Below are 18,517 nucleotides of genomic sequence, written 5' to 3' on the forward strand. Positions count from 1 at the left end.
GTGTCATTTTACCAGTAAATAAAGTATGTGTCTCTTACTGATAAAAATTTAACAAGCATACCACTATCATTCTTGACAAAACTAACAATAATACTTTGTTATCATTCAATGACCACTTCACATTCAAGTTTTCTCAATAATCTCAAGGATATATATTTTAATGTTGTTTTGTTACTGTCAGGATTCAAGCAAAATCTCCACATCACATTTAGTTGTTTTGTCTTGAGTGTTTTCTATAAAAATGTCTCTCTTTCTTTTCTACAATGTTTTTTCCTTAGAGAAACTGGGTCATTTGCGTTAGACAAATCTAGATTTAGCTGATTGTCTTTTTGTGGTATTATTTAACATGATGCTTTAATCCTACTATTTCCTGTAAATAGGTAAATACAGAGGCAGATTAGATTCAGGCTTTTTGTTTTGTTTTGTTTTTTAGACAGAGTCTCGCTCTGTCACCCAGGCTAAAGTGCAGTGAGTGGCATGATCTCAGCTCACTGCAACTTCTGCCTCCCGGTCCCGGGTTTCAAGCAATTCTTGTGCCTCAGCCTTCCGAGTAGATGGGATTACAGTCACTCCCCACCCTGCCTGGCTAATTTTTGTATATTTAGTAGCAAGAATACTATATAAATGATGCTGTGTACTCTCTACTGCATCACCTCAAGAGTACTTAAGGTCTGCTGTCTCACTTTTCTTCATGCTAAGATTGATCAGTGAGTTAAATGCTATCAACTTCTTCCCTCCATTATGATATTCCTACATGGGAATATCAATCCACATATAATCGCTTTTGCTTTCATTGATGATGATCATTGCCTCGGTCCATTATTTCAAGATAACTGCAAAATTATAATTTTCTAATTCTATCATTCCTCTTTTCATTTGTCACTAGAATCCTATTCAGAAGAACTTTCCCTTATGAATTATGTGTTTACTTTTTTGTAATTCCTATAAGAAAAAAAGGATAAATATGTGATTCTCATTTTGTTTACTCATTTTTAGAGTAATAAACTGCTGCCTTATTAAGTTCCAAAGATGACCAATGCGCTTTTCTTTAAAAACATCTTTACTGAAGAAAAACTGACATACCAAAGACTGCACATACATATTTAAAATGTATAATTTGGTAAGTTTTGACATATGCACCATGAAATATTTACCACAACCAACATAATATATGTCATCCCCCAAAGTCGTCACATGCTCCATTGTACTCCTTCCTTTTTGTTCCTCTCTCCTCCCTCCCCTCCCTTACTGGTGGGCTCTTTGTAACTTGACAATCATTTGCATTTCTTAGAATTTCACAGATGAAACAGAACTCTTTTTTTTATCTGGCTTGTTATACTCAGCAAAATTATTTTGAGATTAATCCATGTGATAGTATGTATCAGTAATTCATTCCTTTAACACCCTGTGTGGTATTCCATTGTATAAATATACCAGATTGTTTATACATACACCAACTGACAGACATTTGGGTGGTTTTAAGTTTGGGACTGTTTCTAATAAAGCTGCTATATGGATCCATGTCTTTGCATGTACCTGTGCTTTCATTGATCTTGAGTAAATACCGAGTCGTGAAATGACTGTATCATATAGCAGGTACACATTTAACAGTTTTAGAAATTACTAAAGTGTTTACCAAAGTAAACACTTTGGACCATTTTACATTCTCACAATGTGTAAAATTGGACCACAAGTATGTGTAACTGGACCACATACCTATGATACAGTTTAATTCATCAGTTAGGCATGAGATTAATAACAATAACTAATAATAAAATAGAACAATTATAACAATATGCTGTAATAAAAGTGATGTGAATGTGGTCTCCCCGACCCCCTCAAAATATCTTCTTGTTTTGTACTTTGGGTAACTGATACCACCCATGGAAAGTGAAACTGCAGATAAGGGAAAAGGGACTCTCTCCTTAATTTGCATGAAATTTCCATTCATCTAAGCTGTTGAATTAATAGATGGTTCTGGTTTCTCTAAATTCTCACCAACAATTGATATGCAAGTGTTTTTTTTTTATTATACTTTAAGTTCTGGGGTACGTATGGCAGAACGTGCAGTTTTGTTACATAGGTATACACATACCATGGTGGTTTCCTGCACCCATCAACCCATCACCTACATTAGGTATTTCTCCTAATGTTATCCCTTCCCTAGCACCCCAGCCCCCAACAGGCCCCGGAGTGTGATGCTCCCCTCCCTATGTCCATGTGTTCTCATTGTTCAACTCCCACTTACGAGTGAGAACATGCAGTGATTGGTTTTCTTGTCATAGTTTGCTGAGAATGATGGTTTGCAGTTTCCTCCATGACCCTGCAAAGGACATGAACTCATCTTTTTATGGCTGCATAGTTCTCCATGGTGTATATGTGCCACATTTTCTTTATCCAGTATATTATTGATGGACATTTGGGTTGGTTCCAAGTCTTTGCTATTGTGAATAGTGCTGCAATAAACATACGTGTGCATGTGTCTTTATAGTAGAATGATTTATAATCCTTTGGGTATATACCCAGTAATGGGATTGCTGGGTCAAATGGTATTTCTAGTTCTAGATCCTTAAGGAATCACCACAGTCTTCCACAATAGTTGAACAACACTCCTACCGAGTGTTGTAAGTGTCCCTATTTCTCCACATCCTCTCTAGCATCTGTTGTTTCCTGACTTTTTAATGATTGCCATTAATGATCTGGTGTGAGGAGGTATCTCATTGTGGTTTTGATTTACATTTCTCTAATGACCAGTGATGATGAGCATTTTTTTCATATGTCTGTTGACTGCATAAATGTCTCCTTTGAGAAGTGTCTGCTCATATTATTTGCCCACTTTTTGATGGAGTTGTTCTTTTCTTGTAAATTTGTTTAAGTTCTTTGTAGATTCTGGATATTAACCCTTTGTCAGATGGATAGATTGCAAAAATCTTCTCCCATTCTGTAGGGTCTGTTCACTCTGATGATAATTTCTTTCACTGTGCAGAAGCTCTTTAGTTTAATTAAATCCCATTTGTCTATTTTGGCTTTTGTTGCCATTGCTTTTGGTGTTTTAGAGATGAAGTCTTTGCCCATGCCTATGCCCTGAATGGTATTGCCCAGGTTTTCCTCTAGGATTTTTATGGACCTAGGTCTTACGTTTAAGTCTTTCACCCATCTTGAGTTGATTTTTGTATAAGGTGTAAGCAAAGGGTCCAGTTTCAGTTTTCTGCATATGTTGTGCAGTTCTCACAACACCATTTCTTAAATAGGGAGTCTTTTCCTCATTGCTTGTTTCTGTCAGGTTTGTCAAAGATCAGATGGTTGTAGATACGTGGTGTTATTTCTTAGGTCTCTGTTCTGTTCCACTGGTCTATGTATCTGTTTTGGTACCAGTACCATGCTGTTTTGGTTACTGTACCCTTATAGTATAGTTTGCAGTCAGGTAGCATGATGCCTCCAGCTTTGTTCTTCTTGCACAGGACTGTCATGGCTATAAGGGCTCTTTTTTGGTTCCATATAAATTTTAAAGTAGTTTTTTCCAATTATGTGAAGAAAGTCAGTGGCAGCTTCATGGGGATAGCTTTGAATCTATCAATTACTTTGGGCAGTATGGCCATTTTCATGATATTGATTCTTCCTATCCATGAGCATGGAATGCTTTTCCATTTGTTTGTGTCCTCTGTTATTTTCTTGAGCAGTGGTTTGTAGTTCTCCTTGAAGAGGTCCTTCATATCCCTTGTAAGTTGTATTCCTAGGTATTTTATTATCTTTGTAGCAATTGCGAATGTGAGTTCACTCATTATTTGGCTCTCTGTTAGTCTGTTATTGGTGTATAGGAATGCTTGTGATTTTTGCACATTGATTTTGTATCCTGAGACTTTGCTGAACTTGCTTATCAGCTTAAGGAGATTTTGGGCTGAGATGATGGGGTTTTCTAAATACATAATCATGTCATCTTCAAAAAGAGACAATTTGACTTCCTCTCTTCCTATCTGAATACTCTATTTCTTTCTCTTGCCTGATTGTCCTGGCCAGAACTTCCAATACTATGTTGAAGAGGAGTGGTGAGAGAGGGCATCCTTGTCTGGTGCCGGTTTTCAAAGGGAATGCTTCCACTTTTTGCCCATTCAGTATGATACTCACTGTGGGTTTGTCATAAATAACTCTTATTATTTTGAGATATGTTCCATCGATACCTAGTTTTTTGAAAGTTTTTAACATGAAGGGGTGTTGAATTTTGTCGAAGGCCTTTTCTGCATCTATTGAGATAATCATGTGTTTTCTGTCATTGGTTCTGTTTATGTGATGAATTACATTTATTGATTTTCTTATGTTGAACCAGGCTTGCATCCAAGGAGTGAAGCCGACTTGATCATAGTGGATAAGCTTTTTGATGTGCTGTTGAATTCGGTTTGCCAGTATTTTATTGAGGATTTTCGAATCAATGTTAATCAGGGATACTGGCCTAAAATTTTCTTTTTTTATTGTGTCACTACCAGGTTTTGGTAACAGGATGATGCTGGCCACATAAAATGAGTTAAGGAGGATTCCCTCTTTTTCTATTGTTTGGAATAGTTTCAGAGGAAATGGTACCAGCTCCTCTTTGTACTTCTGGTAGAATGCTGCTGTGAATCCGTCTGGTCCCAGACTTTTTTTTGGTTGGCAGACTATTAATTACTGCCTCAATTTCAGAACTTGTTACTGGTTTATTCAGGAATTCAATTTCTTCCTCATTTAGACTTGGGAGGGTGTATGTGTCCAGGAATGTATCCATTTCTTCCAGATTTTCTAGTTTATTTGCATAGAGGTGTTTATAGTATTCTCTGATGGTAGTTTGTATTTCTGTGGGATCAGTGTTGATATTCCCTATATCATTTTTTATTGCATCTATTTGATCCTTCTCTCTTTTTTCTTTATTATTCTGGCTTGTGGTCTATCTATTTTGTTGATCTTTTCAAAAAACCAGCTCCTGGATTCATTGATTTTTTGAAGGTTTTTTCATGTCTCTATCTCCTACAGCTCTGCTCTGATCTTGGTTATTTCTTGTCTTCTACTAGACTTTGAATTTGTTTGCTGATGCTTCTCTAGTTCTACTAATTTTGATGTTAGGGTGTCAATTTTAGATCTTTCCTGCTTTCTCTTGTGAGTATTTAGTGCTATAAACTTCCCTCTACACACTGCTTTAAATGTGTCCTAGAGATTCTGGTATGTTGTGTCTTCATTCTCATTGGTTTCAAAGAACATCTTTATTTCTCCCTTCATTTTATTATTTACCCAGTAGTCATTCAGAAGCAGGTTGTTCAGTTTCCATGTAGTTGTGCGGTTTTGAGTGAGTCTCTTAATCGTGAGTTCTAATTTGATTGCACTGTGGTGTGAGAGACTCTTTGTTATGATTTCTGCTCTTTTGCATTTGCTGAGGAGTGTTTTACTTCCAATTACGTGGTCAATTTTAGAATAAGTGCAGTGAGGTGCTGAGAAGAATGTATATTCTGTTGATTTGGGGTGGAGAGTTCTGTAGATGTCCATTAGGTCCTCTTGGTCCAGAGCTGAGTTCAAGTTCTGAGTATCCTTGTAAATTTTCTGTCTCATTGATCTGTCTAATATTGACAGTGGGGTGTTAAAGTCTCCCACTATTATTGTGTGGGAGTCTAAGTCTCCTTGTAGGTCTCTAAGACTTGCTTTATGAATCTAGGTGCTCCTGTATTGGGTGCATATATATTTAGGATGGTTAGCTCTTCTTGTTCCATTGGTCCCTTTACCATTATGCAATGCCCTTCTTTGTCTCTTTTGATCTTTGTTGGTTTAAAGTCTGTTTTATCAGAGATTACTATTGCAACTCCTGCTTTTTTGTTTTTGTTTTGGTTTTCCATTTGCTTGGTAAATATTCCTCCATCCCTTCCCTTTATTTTGAGCCTATGTGTGTCTTTGCACGTGAGATGGGTCTCCTGAATACAGCACACTGATGGGTCTTGACTCTTTATCCAATTTGCCAGTCTGTGTCTTTTAATTGGGGCATTTAGCCAGTTTAAATTTAAGGTTAATACTGTTATGTGTGAATTCGATCCTGTCATTATGATGCTAGCTGGTTCTTTTGCTCGTTAGTTGATGGAGTTTCTTCATAGTATCGATGTTCTTTACAATTTGGTATGTTTCTGCAGTGGCTGGTACTGGTTTCTCCTTTCCATGTTTAGTGCTTCTTTCAGGAGCTGTTGTAACGCAGGCCTGGTGGTGACAAAATCTCTCAGCATTTGCTTGTCTGTAAAGGACTTTATTTCTCCTTTGCTTATGAAGCTTAGTTTGGCTGGATATGAAATTCTGGGTTGAAAATTCTTTTCTTTAAGAATGTTGAATATTGGCCCCCACTCTCTTCTGGCTTGTAGGATTTCTACAGAAAGATCCCCTGTTAAGTCTGATGGGCTTCCCTTTGTGGGTAACCCAACCTTTCTCTCTGGCTGCCCTTAACATTTTTTCCTTCATTTCAACCTTGGTGAATCTGATGATTATGTGTCTTGGGGTTGCCCTTCTCGAGGAGTATCTTTGTGGTGTTCTCTGTATTTCCTGAATTTGCATGTTGGTCTGTCTTGCTAGGTTGGGGAAGTTCTCCTGGATAATATCCTGAAGAGTGTTTTCCAACTTGGTTTCATTCTCCCCATCACCTTCAGGTACATCAATCAAACATAGATTTGGTCTTTTCACACAGTCCCATATTTCTTGTTCCTTTGTTCGTTCCTTTTTATTCTTTTCTCTAATATTGTCTTCTCTCTTTCTTTCATTAAGTTGATCTTCAATCAATGATATCCTTTCTTCCACTTGATCAGTTCAGCTATTGAAACTTGCGTATGCTTCATGAAGTTCTCATACTGTGTTTTTCAGCTCCAGCAGGTCATTTACATTCTTCTCTACACTGGTTATTCTATTCCAGTTAGCGATTCGTCTAACCTTTTTTCAAGGTTCTTAGCTTCCTTGCATTAAGTTAGAACCTGCTCCTTTAGCTCGGAAGAGTTTGTTATTACCAGCCTTCTGAAGCCTACTTCTGTCAATTCGTCAAACTCATTCTCCATCCAGTTTTGTTCTCTTGCTGGCGAGGAGTTGTGATCCTTTGGAGGAGAAGAGGCTTTCTGGTTTTTGGAATTTTCAGCCTTTTTGTGCTGGTTTCTCCCCATCTTTGTGATTTACCTACCTTTGCTCATTGATTTTCGTGACCTCTGAATGGGGTCTTTGAGTCGACATGCTCTTCCTTTCTGTTTCTTAGTTTTCCTTCTGACAGTCAGGCCCCTCTGCTGCTGTCTGCTGGAGTCTGCTGGTGGTCCACCCCTGACCCTGTTTGCCTGGATATCACCAGCAGAGGCTGCAGAACAGCAAAGATTGCCGCCTGATCTTTCCTCAGGAAGCTTCGTCCCAGAGGGGCACCTGCCAGATGCCAGCCAGAGCTCTCCTGTGTGAGATGTCTGTCAGCCCCTAGTGGGAGGTGTCTCCCAGTCAGGATACACAGGAGTCAGGGACCCACTTGAAGAGGCAGTCTGATCCTTAGCAGAGGTTGAATGCTGTGCTGGGAGGTACGCTGCTCTTTTCAGAGCTGTCAGGCAGGAACATTTAAGTCTGCTGAATCTTCACCCACAATTGCTCCTTTCTCCAGGTGCTCTGTCCCAGGAAGATAGGGGTTTTATCTATATGTCCCTGACAGGAACTGTTGTCTTTTTTTTCAGAGATGCCCTGCCCAGAGAAGAGGAATCTAGAGAGGCCATGCTGAGCTGCACTGGGCTCCACCCAGTTGGAACTTCTCAGTGGCTTTGTTTACACTGTGAGCTTAAAACCGCCTACTCAAGCCTCAGCAATGGCAGGTGACCCTCCCCCTACCGAGCTTGAGCCACAGCAGGCTGCTGCTGTGCTGACAGTGAGAATTTCAAGTCAGGGGATCTTAGTTTGCTGGGCTCCATGGGAGTGGGACCCACCAAGCCAGACCACTTGGCTCCCTGGCTTCAGCACCCCTTTCCAGGGGAGTGAATGGTTCTGTCTTGCTGGTGTTCCAGGCCCCAATGAGGCATGGAAAAAAAGAACTCCTGCAGTTAGTTCGGTGTCTGCCCAAATGGCCGCCCAGTTTTGTGCTTGAAACCCAGAGCCCTGGTGGCATAGGCACCGCAGGGAATCTCCTGGTTTGCAGATTGCAAAGACCATGGGACAAGCGCAGTATCTGTGCTGGAGTTCCTCAGGCTCAGACTCTCATGGCTTCCGCTGGGTAGGGGAGAAAATTCCCCAATCCCTTGCGCTTCCTGGGTGAGGCAATGCCCCACCCTGCTTCAGCTTGCCCTCCATGGGCTGCAGCCACTGTCCAACCAGTCCCAGTGAGATGAACCGGGTACCTCAGTTGGAAATGCAGAAATCACCTGCCTTCTCTATCATTTTCGCTGGGAGCTGCAGACCAGAGCTGTTCCTATTCAGCCATCTTGCCAGCAATCTATGGCAAGTGTTTTTAACATTAGCCAATCTAATACGTGTGTGGTGGTATTTTAATATAGTTTTAATTTGCATGTCCCTAATCCCTAATGCTACTGAACATCTTTTCATGTGCTTATTTTCTTACTTAGTTTTGACAGTTCTTAATATATTCTAGACATAGTTTATCAGATATACAGTTTTCAATTATTTTTCCCAATCTGGGGCTTGTCTCCTTAACAATACAGGAGTCCCTCTCCCTTATCTGCAGTTTCACTTTCCACGAGTGGTACCAGTTACCCAAGGTACAGTTCCAGAAGATACTTTGAAGGGGTGGGGAGACCACACTCACATCACTTTTATAACAACATATTGTTATAATTGTTCTATTTTATTATTAGTTATTGTTATTAATCTCATATTGTGCCTAGTTGATGAATTAAACTTTATCATAGGTATGAATGGCTAAGAAAAATCATAGCATACAAAAGGCTTGGTACTATCCATGGTTTAAGGCATCCACTGGGGGTTGTGGAATATATCCCACGAGGATAAGGGGGAATTACTGTATATGTCAAAGAGTAGAATATTTTAATTTTCATAAAGTGTAATTTATTAATTAGTAAATTTATTAATTGACTTTTTTTTTTTTTTTTTGAGACAGAGTCTCACTCTGTCGCCCAGGCCAGAATGCAGTGGCTCAATCTTGGCTCACTGCAACCTCCACCTCCCGGGTTCAAGAGATTCTCCTGCCTCAGCCTCCCGAGTAACTGGGACAAGAGGCACATGCCACTGCACCCAGCTAATTTTTTTAAATATTTTTAGTAGAGACAGCATTTCACCATATTGGCCATGCTGGTCTCAAACTCCTGACCTCGTGATCTGCCCACCTCGACCTCCCAAACTGCTGGGATTACAGGCACGAGCCACCGCACCTGGCCCGATTTATTAATTTTGATCAGGCTTTTGGTATCCTATTTTAGAAATCTTTGTCTAACCCAAGATCACAAAAGTTTTCTCCTATCTGTTCTTCTAGAACTTTTTTATTGATATAAAATTTATTTCCTACAAAAGTCATCCTCATAAATTGTACAGTTCAATGGTTTTTAGTACATTGAGTGACGTGTGCAACCATCACCAATATCTAATTTCAGAACATTCTCATTAGACTGAAAAGAAACCCAGTATAAATGGGCATATTCTGGACATTTCATATAAACAAATCATATAGAAAAATAGCCTTTGTAGCTATCCTCTTTATCATAATGCTTCCAAGGCCATGTTACAGCCATATTATAGCATATTTCAGAACATCATTCTTTTTCATGGCTGAATAATATTCCTCTGTATGAATATACCACATTCTGCTTATACATACATGAGATGATAGGCATTTACATTGTTTCCACATTTTAGCTGTTGTGTATGTTGCTGCTATGGGCATTCATGTACAAGTTTCTCTTTGAATCCTGTTTTTAATTATTTTGATTCTATACTTAGGATTGAAATTTCTGGATCATATGGTAATTCTGTATTTAAACTTGTGAGGAACTGCCAATCTGTTTTCCATAGCAACTGCATAATTTTATATCCCCACCATTAATGTACAAGGGTTCTAATTTCTCCACTTCTTTGTCAACACTTGCTGTTGTCCACTTTTTTTATTACAACCATCCTAGTAGGTGTGAAGCTGTACCTCACTGGGGTTTCCGATTTGCATTTCCCAGTCATTTGCATAACTAATAATGTTGAGCAGCTTTTCATGTGCTTGGCAGCCAAGTATATCTTCTCTGGAGAAATATCTATTCAAGTCTTTTGCACATTTAAAAAAATTAGGCTGTCTTTTTGTTGCTAAGATATGAGTTATTTATATATTCAAGACACTTACCAGATATGTGATTTGCAAATATTTTTTCTTATTCTGTCGATTGCCTCTTCAATTTCTTGAGAGTATCCTTTGAATTTTTAATTGTGATAAAGTACAATTTACCTTTTTTTTCTTCTGTTGCTCATGCTTTTGGTGTCATATCTAAGAATCCATTACTGAATTCAAGGTCATGAAGATTTCTCCCATGTTTTCTTCTACATGTTTCATAGTTTTAACTCCTACATTTAGGTCTTTGAACCATGTTATAGTTAATTTTTATATATGGTCTGAGGTAGAGGTCTAGTTTCACTCTTTTGGATACGGATATCCAGATATCCTTGCACCATGTGCTTAAGAGACTCTTCTCATTGAATGGTTTTAGCACCCTTTCAAATATTAATAGGACATAGATGTGTGAGTTTATTTCTGGACGCTCGATCCTTTTCCATTGACTTACGTGTCTATCCTTACATCAGTACTATACTGTTTTGGTTCTTATAGCTCTGTAGTAAGTTTTAAAATTGGGACATATGAGTCCTCCAACACTGTTTTTCTTTTTTTGAGATAGTTACGGCTCTTCAGTTGTCCTGCAATTCAATAATAATTTCAATATCAGATTTTCCATTAAAAAAAGCTGCTGAGATTTTTACAGAGATTCCATTGACTCTATAAAGTGCTTTGAGTAATACTGCCATCTTAACAATATTAAGTATTTTAAGATGAATAGTGGATGCCTTTTCATTATGTAGGTCTTCTTTAATTCCTTTCGGTAATGTTTTGTGGGTTTCAGTGATCCTTGGTTAAATGTATTTATAAATGTTTTATTATTTTTGATAATAATGTAAATGAAAGGTTTTCCTTTATTTCATTTGCAGATTATTCATTGCCAGCATATAAAATTATAACTTTTTAATGCTTCTTTTCAATGTCTTTTTAATTTTTTTAACTGACAAAATTTGTATATATTTATGGTGTACAGCATGATGTTTTGATATAAGTATACATTGTGGAGTGGCCAGATCAAGATAATTAATATATGCCTTACCTCATATACTGAAAGGAGTTAGTTAGCTTGCCTTAGGTAGATAACAAGGGAAGGGTCCCAGAGAGGCCCCCGCCTGTGGGTCAGTGCCTCATCCCCACATAACATAAAAAGCAGCCTGAGAAAAAATTCAAGCGGCAGGTACCAATAAGGGAACTAGCACGGGGTGTTATACCTAGAGACATGCCCACGGCTGCACAGATAGAAAAACCTCCAGCCCATTTGGATAAAAACTTGCACAAACCTCCAGCTAACTCAGATAAGGGAACAAGGCCAGGCACAGAAATGCCTTTGTCCTTTGTATAGTCAGTGGGATCCCAGAAAAAGTTTCTTCTCCTTTTGTGGGCATGGGCACAGTGGGCTCCGGTGGGTTCCAGTGGGCACTCTACTTTCCTTTATTTGGACTGTAAGTCTGGCCTCTATGAATCATCACCTCAGCCCGATTGTTCCCAGGCCAAGCTGAGTCACACATTCGCCAAGACAGCCCACAGACTAAGCACATTCCTTCCCCTTCCCAGTCCATAAAAACCCTGGACCCCAGCCCCACAGTGGATACTCCCATTCCAGACCCCCTCTCTGCTGGCAGAGAGCTTTCTTCTTTTGCTTATTAAACTTTCGCTCTAACCTCACCTTTGACCATGCTCCTTAATAGTCTTGGAGGTAGGACAAGAACTCCCAGCATTATCTCAGACAACAAAAGTTTGTTTCGATATTATATTGAAACAATATATACCCTTGTCATCCTTTTAATACCTATAGTATCTGTAGTTTTCTCAACCCTCTGAGCTGTAACACCGGCAACTTTTTTTTTGATCAGTGTGACTAGAGATTTATCAATTTCATCTATCTTATCAAATCGCTAGCTTTTGGTTTCATTAATTTCCTCTCTTCTTTTTGCTTTCCATTTCAACATTGTTTCAATATTATATTATTTGTGGTCGACCACTTAAAATTTATTCTCTCAGCAATTTTCAAGTATACAATATAGTTACTTACTATAGTAAATATGTACTATATGTACTATGTACTATATGTACTACAGTCTATAGTCTATAGTCTATGATGTACTATAGATCTCTTGAACTTACTCTTGCTGCCTAACTGAAATTTTGTATTCTTCAACCAGCACCTCCTCAATCCTTTCCCTCCCTTCAGCATCTGGTAACCACCATTCTAATCTGATTCTATGAGTCTGACTTTGTTAGATTCCACATGTAAGAAGATCATGCAGTATTTGTCTTTCTGTGCCTGGCTTATTTTACTTAACATAATCTCCCTCCAGGTTCATCCATGTTGTTGCAAATGACAGAAATTTCCTTCTTTTTAAGGCTGAATAGTATTCCATTGTGTGTATATACCATATTTTCTAATTTTTTTTCTTTTTTTTTTTTTTTTTTTGAGACAGAGTCTCACTCTGTCGCCTAGGCTGGAGTGCAGTGGCCACTGCAAGCTCCACCTCCCGGGTTCACGCCATTCTCCTGCCTCAGCCTCCAGAGTAGCTGGGACTATAGGCGCCTGCTACCACGCCCATCTAATTTTTTTATATTTTTTTAGTAGAGATGGGGTTTCACCATGTTAGCCAGGATGGTCTCAAACTCCTGACCTCGTGATCCGCCCACCTCGGCCTCCCAAAGTGCTGAGATTACAGGTGTGAGCCACCGCGCCTGGCCAACATTTTCTTTATCCATTTATCCTTTAATGGACATTCCATATCAACTTTGGCTACTGTGAATAGTGCTGCAATGAAAGTAAGAGTGCAGACATCTCTTCAACATACTGATTTTATATCCTTTGGATACATACCCAGCAGTACTATTGCTGGCTCATATGGCAGTTTTATTTTTAATTTTTTTGAGTCACTTCCATACTGTGTTCTACAATGGCTATACTAATTTACATTTCTACCAAGAATTTTCAAGAGCTCCCCTTTTCCTACATCCTCACCAAAACTTGTTATCTTTCCCCTTTTTAATAACAGCCATTCTAACAAGTGTAAGGTGATATCTCATTGTGGTTTTAATTTGCATTTCTCTGATGATTAGTGACACTGAGCATTTTTTTTCATATACTTGCTGGCCACATGTATGTCTCTTTTTGAAAAATGTCTATTTGGGTACTTTGCCCAGTTTTCAATCAGGTTATTTGTTTTCTTACTATTGAGTCGAGTTCCTTATATATTTTGGATAGTAGCTCCTTATCAGATATATGGTTTGGAAATACTTTCTTCCATTCCATAGGTTGTCTTTTCACTCTGTTGTTTCCTCTGCTATACAGATACAATGGATTTTTGTGTATTGATTTCCTAGCTTTGATTTATTTTGAGTGCCTAATCAACTTTGCTTTTCTGGGATAAACTCTAATTAGGTCATGACATAATTATCCTTTTAAAATACTGTTAGACATGATTTTCCAAACTTTTGTTTACAATTTTTGAACCTATATTCATGAAAGATAGTGATGTTCAATTTTCTTCACTTAGAGTGTCTTTATCAAGTTTTTAAAATGTGGGTAATAATAGTCTCTTTTCTAGAAGACTTGTGTTGAATTGGTATTATTTCTTTCTTAAATATTTGGCAAAATTCAACAGTGAAGTCATCTGGGATGGGAGTATTGGAAAATTTTTAACTACAGAAGCAATTTCTTTAAGAAATACAGGGGTATTCAAGTTATTATTTCTTCTTAAGTGAGCTTTGGTAGTCAGTGTTTTTCAAATAAATTTTCCATTTCATCTAAATTGTTGAATTGATAGGCCTAAAGATGTTCACTGGCTGGATGTGGTTGCTCACGCCTGTAATCTCAGCACTTTGAGAGGCTGACATGGGTGGATCACCTGAGGTCAGGAGTTCAAAACCAGCCTGGCTAACATGGTGAAACCCCGTCTCTATTAAAAATACAAAAAATTAGCCGGGCGTGGTGGTGGGCGCCTGTAGTCCCAGATATTTGGGAGGCTGAGGCAGGAGAATTGCTTGAACCCGAGAGGTGGAGGTTGCAGTGAGCCAAGATCCCATTACACTCCAGCCTGGGCAACAAGATTGAAACTCTATCTCAAAAATTAAAATTAAAAAAAAAGATGTTCATAATAATAACCTTGTTATCCTTTTAATGCCTGTAGTATCTGTAGTTTTGTCAACCCTCTGAGCTATAACATTGGCAAGTTTTTTTTGATCAGTGTGACTAGAGATTTATCAATTTTATCTATCTTATCAAATCACTAGCTTTTGGTTTCATTAATTTCCTCTCTTCTTTTTGCTTTCCATTTCATTGATTTCCTCTTTGATCTTTACTATTTCCTTTTTTTTTTTTTTTTTTTTTTTGCTTACTTTGGATTTAGTTTGCTCCTTTCTCAAATTTCATAAAATGGAAGTTGAAGTCATGATTTGAAATCTTTCTTTTTTCTCATATTGGTATTTGTTTCATTATTTTTATCTAAGTAGTACTTTAGTAGCATCACACTAAATCTGATACATTGTGTTTTCATTTTCATTCATTTCAAAATACTTTCTAATTTCTCTTTTGATTTTGTCTTTACTCATGGGTTATTTAGGATTGAATGCATAAGGAGGGTCATCCACAAATCCCTGGGATTCTTCTATGCAGTTCTCTCCACTCCAGTATTCAGTCCTCTGAAATCTGGCTGTTTTGGTCTCCCTGGCCTTTCTGTTCTGTTTTGTCAACTCAGACAGTCTGCTGTGTGTTACCTGAGTTACCCCCCAACCTGTGCTGCAGTCTGGAAACTCTTTCAATGCACTAAACTGAGACAATCCCAGAGCTCCTCCTGCCTGTTTCCCGTATCATAGGGATCATTGTCCTTGGTTGCCTGATACCCAGTGTCTTAAAAACCATTGTTTCCTATATTTTGTCTGTTTTTTTAAAGTTGTTTCAGGAAAGAGTAAATTTGGCCCCTGTTACGCCACCTAAGCTGGAAGAAGTCCAGTTTCGTTTTGCTTATATCATTATAAACCCATTTTTATATATTTTATTTCTTTTAATTCATTGCAGAATCTTCCTTTTCAATGCTCAAAATATCCCAGCCTAAGTCAGTAGGAGCCATTTCACGTTGGCTTTTGGGTCCTTCGACATGTTCCTTCTAGTCTCTTTAGTGGCAAATGACATGCAGGTCCCACAGTCTAAACACTGAAGGTAACTATATATTTGCATTTGCTGAACTTGTTTTTAAAAGTGGGAGAGAGAGCAAGATATACAGATTTTATATTTATATAACAGGTACACTACAATGAAAAGAACACACTTGTGTTAGAGTAGACCCAATTCTCCCACATACAAGTCACTAATACTCTTAACTGTAAATGTAGACCTCAAAAATTCTTATCTTTGCTTCCTAAATATAGACCTCTAAGTTTCCAAACAGTCCCATAAATATGACTTTATCTTATCAACCTGTGTGCATTCAGTCTGGTTATTCTGGACTCTCATTAACACAGTCATAGCAGCTTAGAAAGGCTTCTTATCCCAATATTGCTTGAGATTAGCAGAATCTAAGTAATAATGGCATGTCATCAGTAAATATTACAAAGTAAACGGGAATCCAGTCAAGCCTGAGAAAATCAAAATAAAATTAAATCAAAGGGACCACAAGAGGATATCAATGTCCTTCCATCTATTCCCAATCCTCTGTTTTCTTGCCCTTGATTTAAAAATCAAGATGTCACAAATCCCCAATTTTCCCTTCTAACCTACTAAATTAGACTTGATATTTCTTAGTTTCCATGAGAGCCCCTAACAGTCCCTTCTAGGCCAATAATTCCTAAATTCATAGATTCTTCAGGGTGCAAGAAATTGCAGATCTGAAGACAGATCATCTAATACAGGCACATAATTTCAAAGACAGGAAACTAAGGTACAGAAATTTTATGCTCTTTGCCTCTCTCTTAGCAAACTTAGAAAGCCAGGGATTTAGTGACATCATGTATTAAAGAGATTTTCTAAAGCATGTAAAAACATATTTAGGCTGATAACTCTTAACACTCTATATCTCACATCCTCTTGATTATTTATTATGTACTATGATGATAAGGAAAACACAACTTTTTAAGGGGTGTTTATATGATTACAAACATTTTTGTGAATGTCTTAGTAACCAGTATGAAAACATTGCCAGAATGCAAATATCATAAAATAAAAAGCATTAATTTTATTAAAAACTGAGTCTACCCTTGGTTTTCAAGAGATAAACCAATTAAAATAGCTAAAATAGCTTTGCAGAACCGATGCATGTATAAAATGTCCTCTTTTGCCTTTACTTGAATCCAGAAAACTAAGCAACATTCATTGCTTAGTTGTACACACCAGTTTTCTCATCAAAGAAAAGGCTCTGTTGAAGAACAAAGATGTTCCTCAGAACTTTGAGGACTAACTGTAATACAAGTCCAATAGATTCTGATTGTTGATAGACCAAACCAGCAATCCTTGCCTAAAATCTTCAGAAGAACCATTTCAGCAAATTGAGCTTTCCAATGCAGACATTTGCTGTAGCTGTGTTTTATCACAGAGAATAATTGTGATCTTTTAAGTACCAGTGTACCATAATTTTTGGCCATCTCAAAATGCTGAGGGAAGCACTTACTGATCTAATAAGTCTTGTTTTGTCTTTAATGAGTACAATTTCAAGTAATCATAAAAAGCCCACATATGGCCATCACAACACTTGTTGTGCACAATCTGTTCAACCAAAGGCATTTTTACTCTACAACATAAACAGCATTAGGTGTGACTAGAAAAACATTCATCTACCAAGATGTTCAGGCCAAGGTTATAGGAAATGAATTAAAAATTATGGTTACATATGGTCTTGGTTACACTAAGATGTTCTGATACAGCAATAATTGAGAATAACAGGCCTATCCTCTCCTCTAGCTTTAGGCTCTGATCCTCACAATAAAATTAAAGCTAATCAGTCCTTTAAGACATACTACAACCACAGGCTCTCTTTCAGATACACTATACTAGAATAGTGATTTGATTTCTTAAAATCAAACTTCGTACTAATTTTCTAGCAATTTAGATACTATGGCATCTTTTTTTTTTTTTTTTTTTTGAGACAGAGTCTCATCTGTCGCCCGGGCTGGAGTGCAGTGGCGCAATCTCGGCTCACTGCAACCTCCGCCTCTCGGGTTTAAGCAATTCTCCCATCTCAGCCTCCCAAGTAGCTGGGATTACAGCCACCACACCACCATGCCCAGCTAATTTTTGTCTTTTAGTAGAGATGGAGTTTCACCACGTTGGCCAGGCTGATTTCAGACTCCTGGCCTCAAGTGATTCACCTGCCTCGGCCTCCCAAAGTGCTGGGATTACAGGAGTGATCCATTGTGCCTGGCCCGCATCTGTTTTAATATTAATAGCTAAAATTTACTTAGCATTTACTGTGGTCTCTATTCTGAATCAAGTACCTTATATATATTACCTTATTTAATACCCTAAAAAATAATTTTCCCACTTAGCTAAGTGATAGACCCAATAATCCAATCTGAGGTTATAATGGCGCCCAGGGTCCTATTCACTGTATGATCCTACCATAGTCCTAGGTAACTCATAAACATTTGCTCTTCTCCTAGGGAGTAAAGAAAGACATTATTTCCCATTAAACTGTAAGCTCAAAGAGATCTGAAGACATCAAACTGAAAGAGACCTGGGATCTTACCTGGTTTTTTTCATCATTGTGTTGCCAATACAGCAACTTTCTAATAGTTGTGAAATGAAGGAAGGTTGAAGGAAAAGGTTGCTCAGCTATAATAAGTCGGAAAAGGCAAGAATCACATTCATTTTCCTAAGTACTATAGGATAGAACTGAAATTTATACAGTAACAAATTTCAGATAACACATAGGTAAATTTTATAGTAGCCAGCTTTTCCATTACACAAATGTAAGAATTGGCTTTTAATTATTTTAAAGCTCTGGAAAGCAGTAGAGATGACACATCGCAGTAGAGATGACACATCAGTGAGAGATTACTAAAGAACTGGCAGTTTGATCATTTCTAAAAATATGAAATTTCATATAATTGTTATATTATTGAACTCTCTGAGCCACAATGTAAATTTTTGTCATATATTCACCTCTCTTTTCACCTTACATATTCAGCTTGATAATATGCACTGACCATATTCACTTTTTAAAGCCAAATACTCATAAGATCTAGTGATATATGAGCACTTAAAATTCAACCAAATATCTT

At 37.8% G+C, this 18,517-nt stretch overlaps 1 protein-coding gene across 8 annotated transcripts in view, besides 2 other annotated features; it reads right to left on the bottom strand.

Moving 5' to 3' along the window:
• FBXL17 (F-box and leucine rich repeat protein 17) overlaps window positions 1-18,517 on the bottom strand; it is a 523,064-nt gene that overhangs the window by 346,279 nt on the left and 158,268 nt on the right. Inside the window, exon 6 of one of the 8 annotated variants that reach the window (XM_017009729.3) lies at window positions 14,348-18,068. The exons of the other annotated variants lie outside the window; for them this stretch is intronic. Within the exon in view, the coding sequence (XP_016865218.1) occupies window positions 17,979-18,068 (90 nt within the window). The 3' untranslated portion in view covers window positions 14,348-17,978. Of the gene's footprint in view, window positions 1-14,347; window positions 18,069-18,517 lie in introns of those variants that run through there. 8 annotated transcript variants of the gene reach the window in all.
• Window positions 6,949-7,782: an enhancer, noted in NCBI's record as "NANOG-H3K27ac-H3K4me1 hESC enhancer chr5:107547963-107548796 (GRCh37/hg19 assembly coordinates)". NCBI's record gives its function as "activates a minimal SCP1, AML or CMV promoter by ChIP-STARR-seq in naive H9 embryonic stem cells {active_cell/tissue: H9 hESC(naive)}" and the evidence as "EXISTENCE:reporter gene assay evidence [ECO:0000049][PMID:30033119]".
• Window positions 7,783-8,616: an enhancer, noted in NCBI's record as "NANOG-H3K27ac-H3K4me1 hESC enhancer chr5:107548797-107549630 (GRCh37/hg19 assembly coordinates)". NCBI's record gives its function as "activates a minimal SCP1, AML or CMV promoter by ChIP-STARR-seq in naive H9 embryonic stem cells {active_cell/tissue: H9 hESC(naive)}" and the evidence as "EXISTENCE:reporter gene assay evidence [ECO:0000049][PMID:30033119]".

Source organism: Homo sapiens, chromosome 5 (assembly GCF_000001405.40).
Source record: "Homo sapiens chromosome 5, GRCh38.p14 Primary Assembly".
In the NCBI taxonomy this organism is placed as follows: Eukaryota; Metazoa; Chordata; class Mammalia; order Primates; family Hominidae; genus Homo; species Homo sapiens.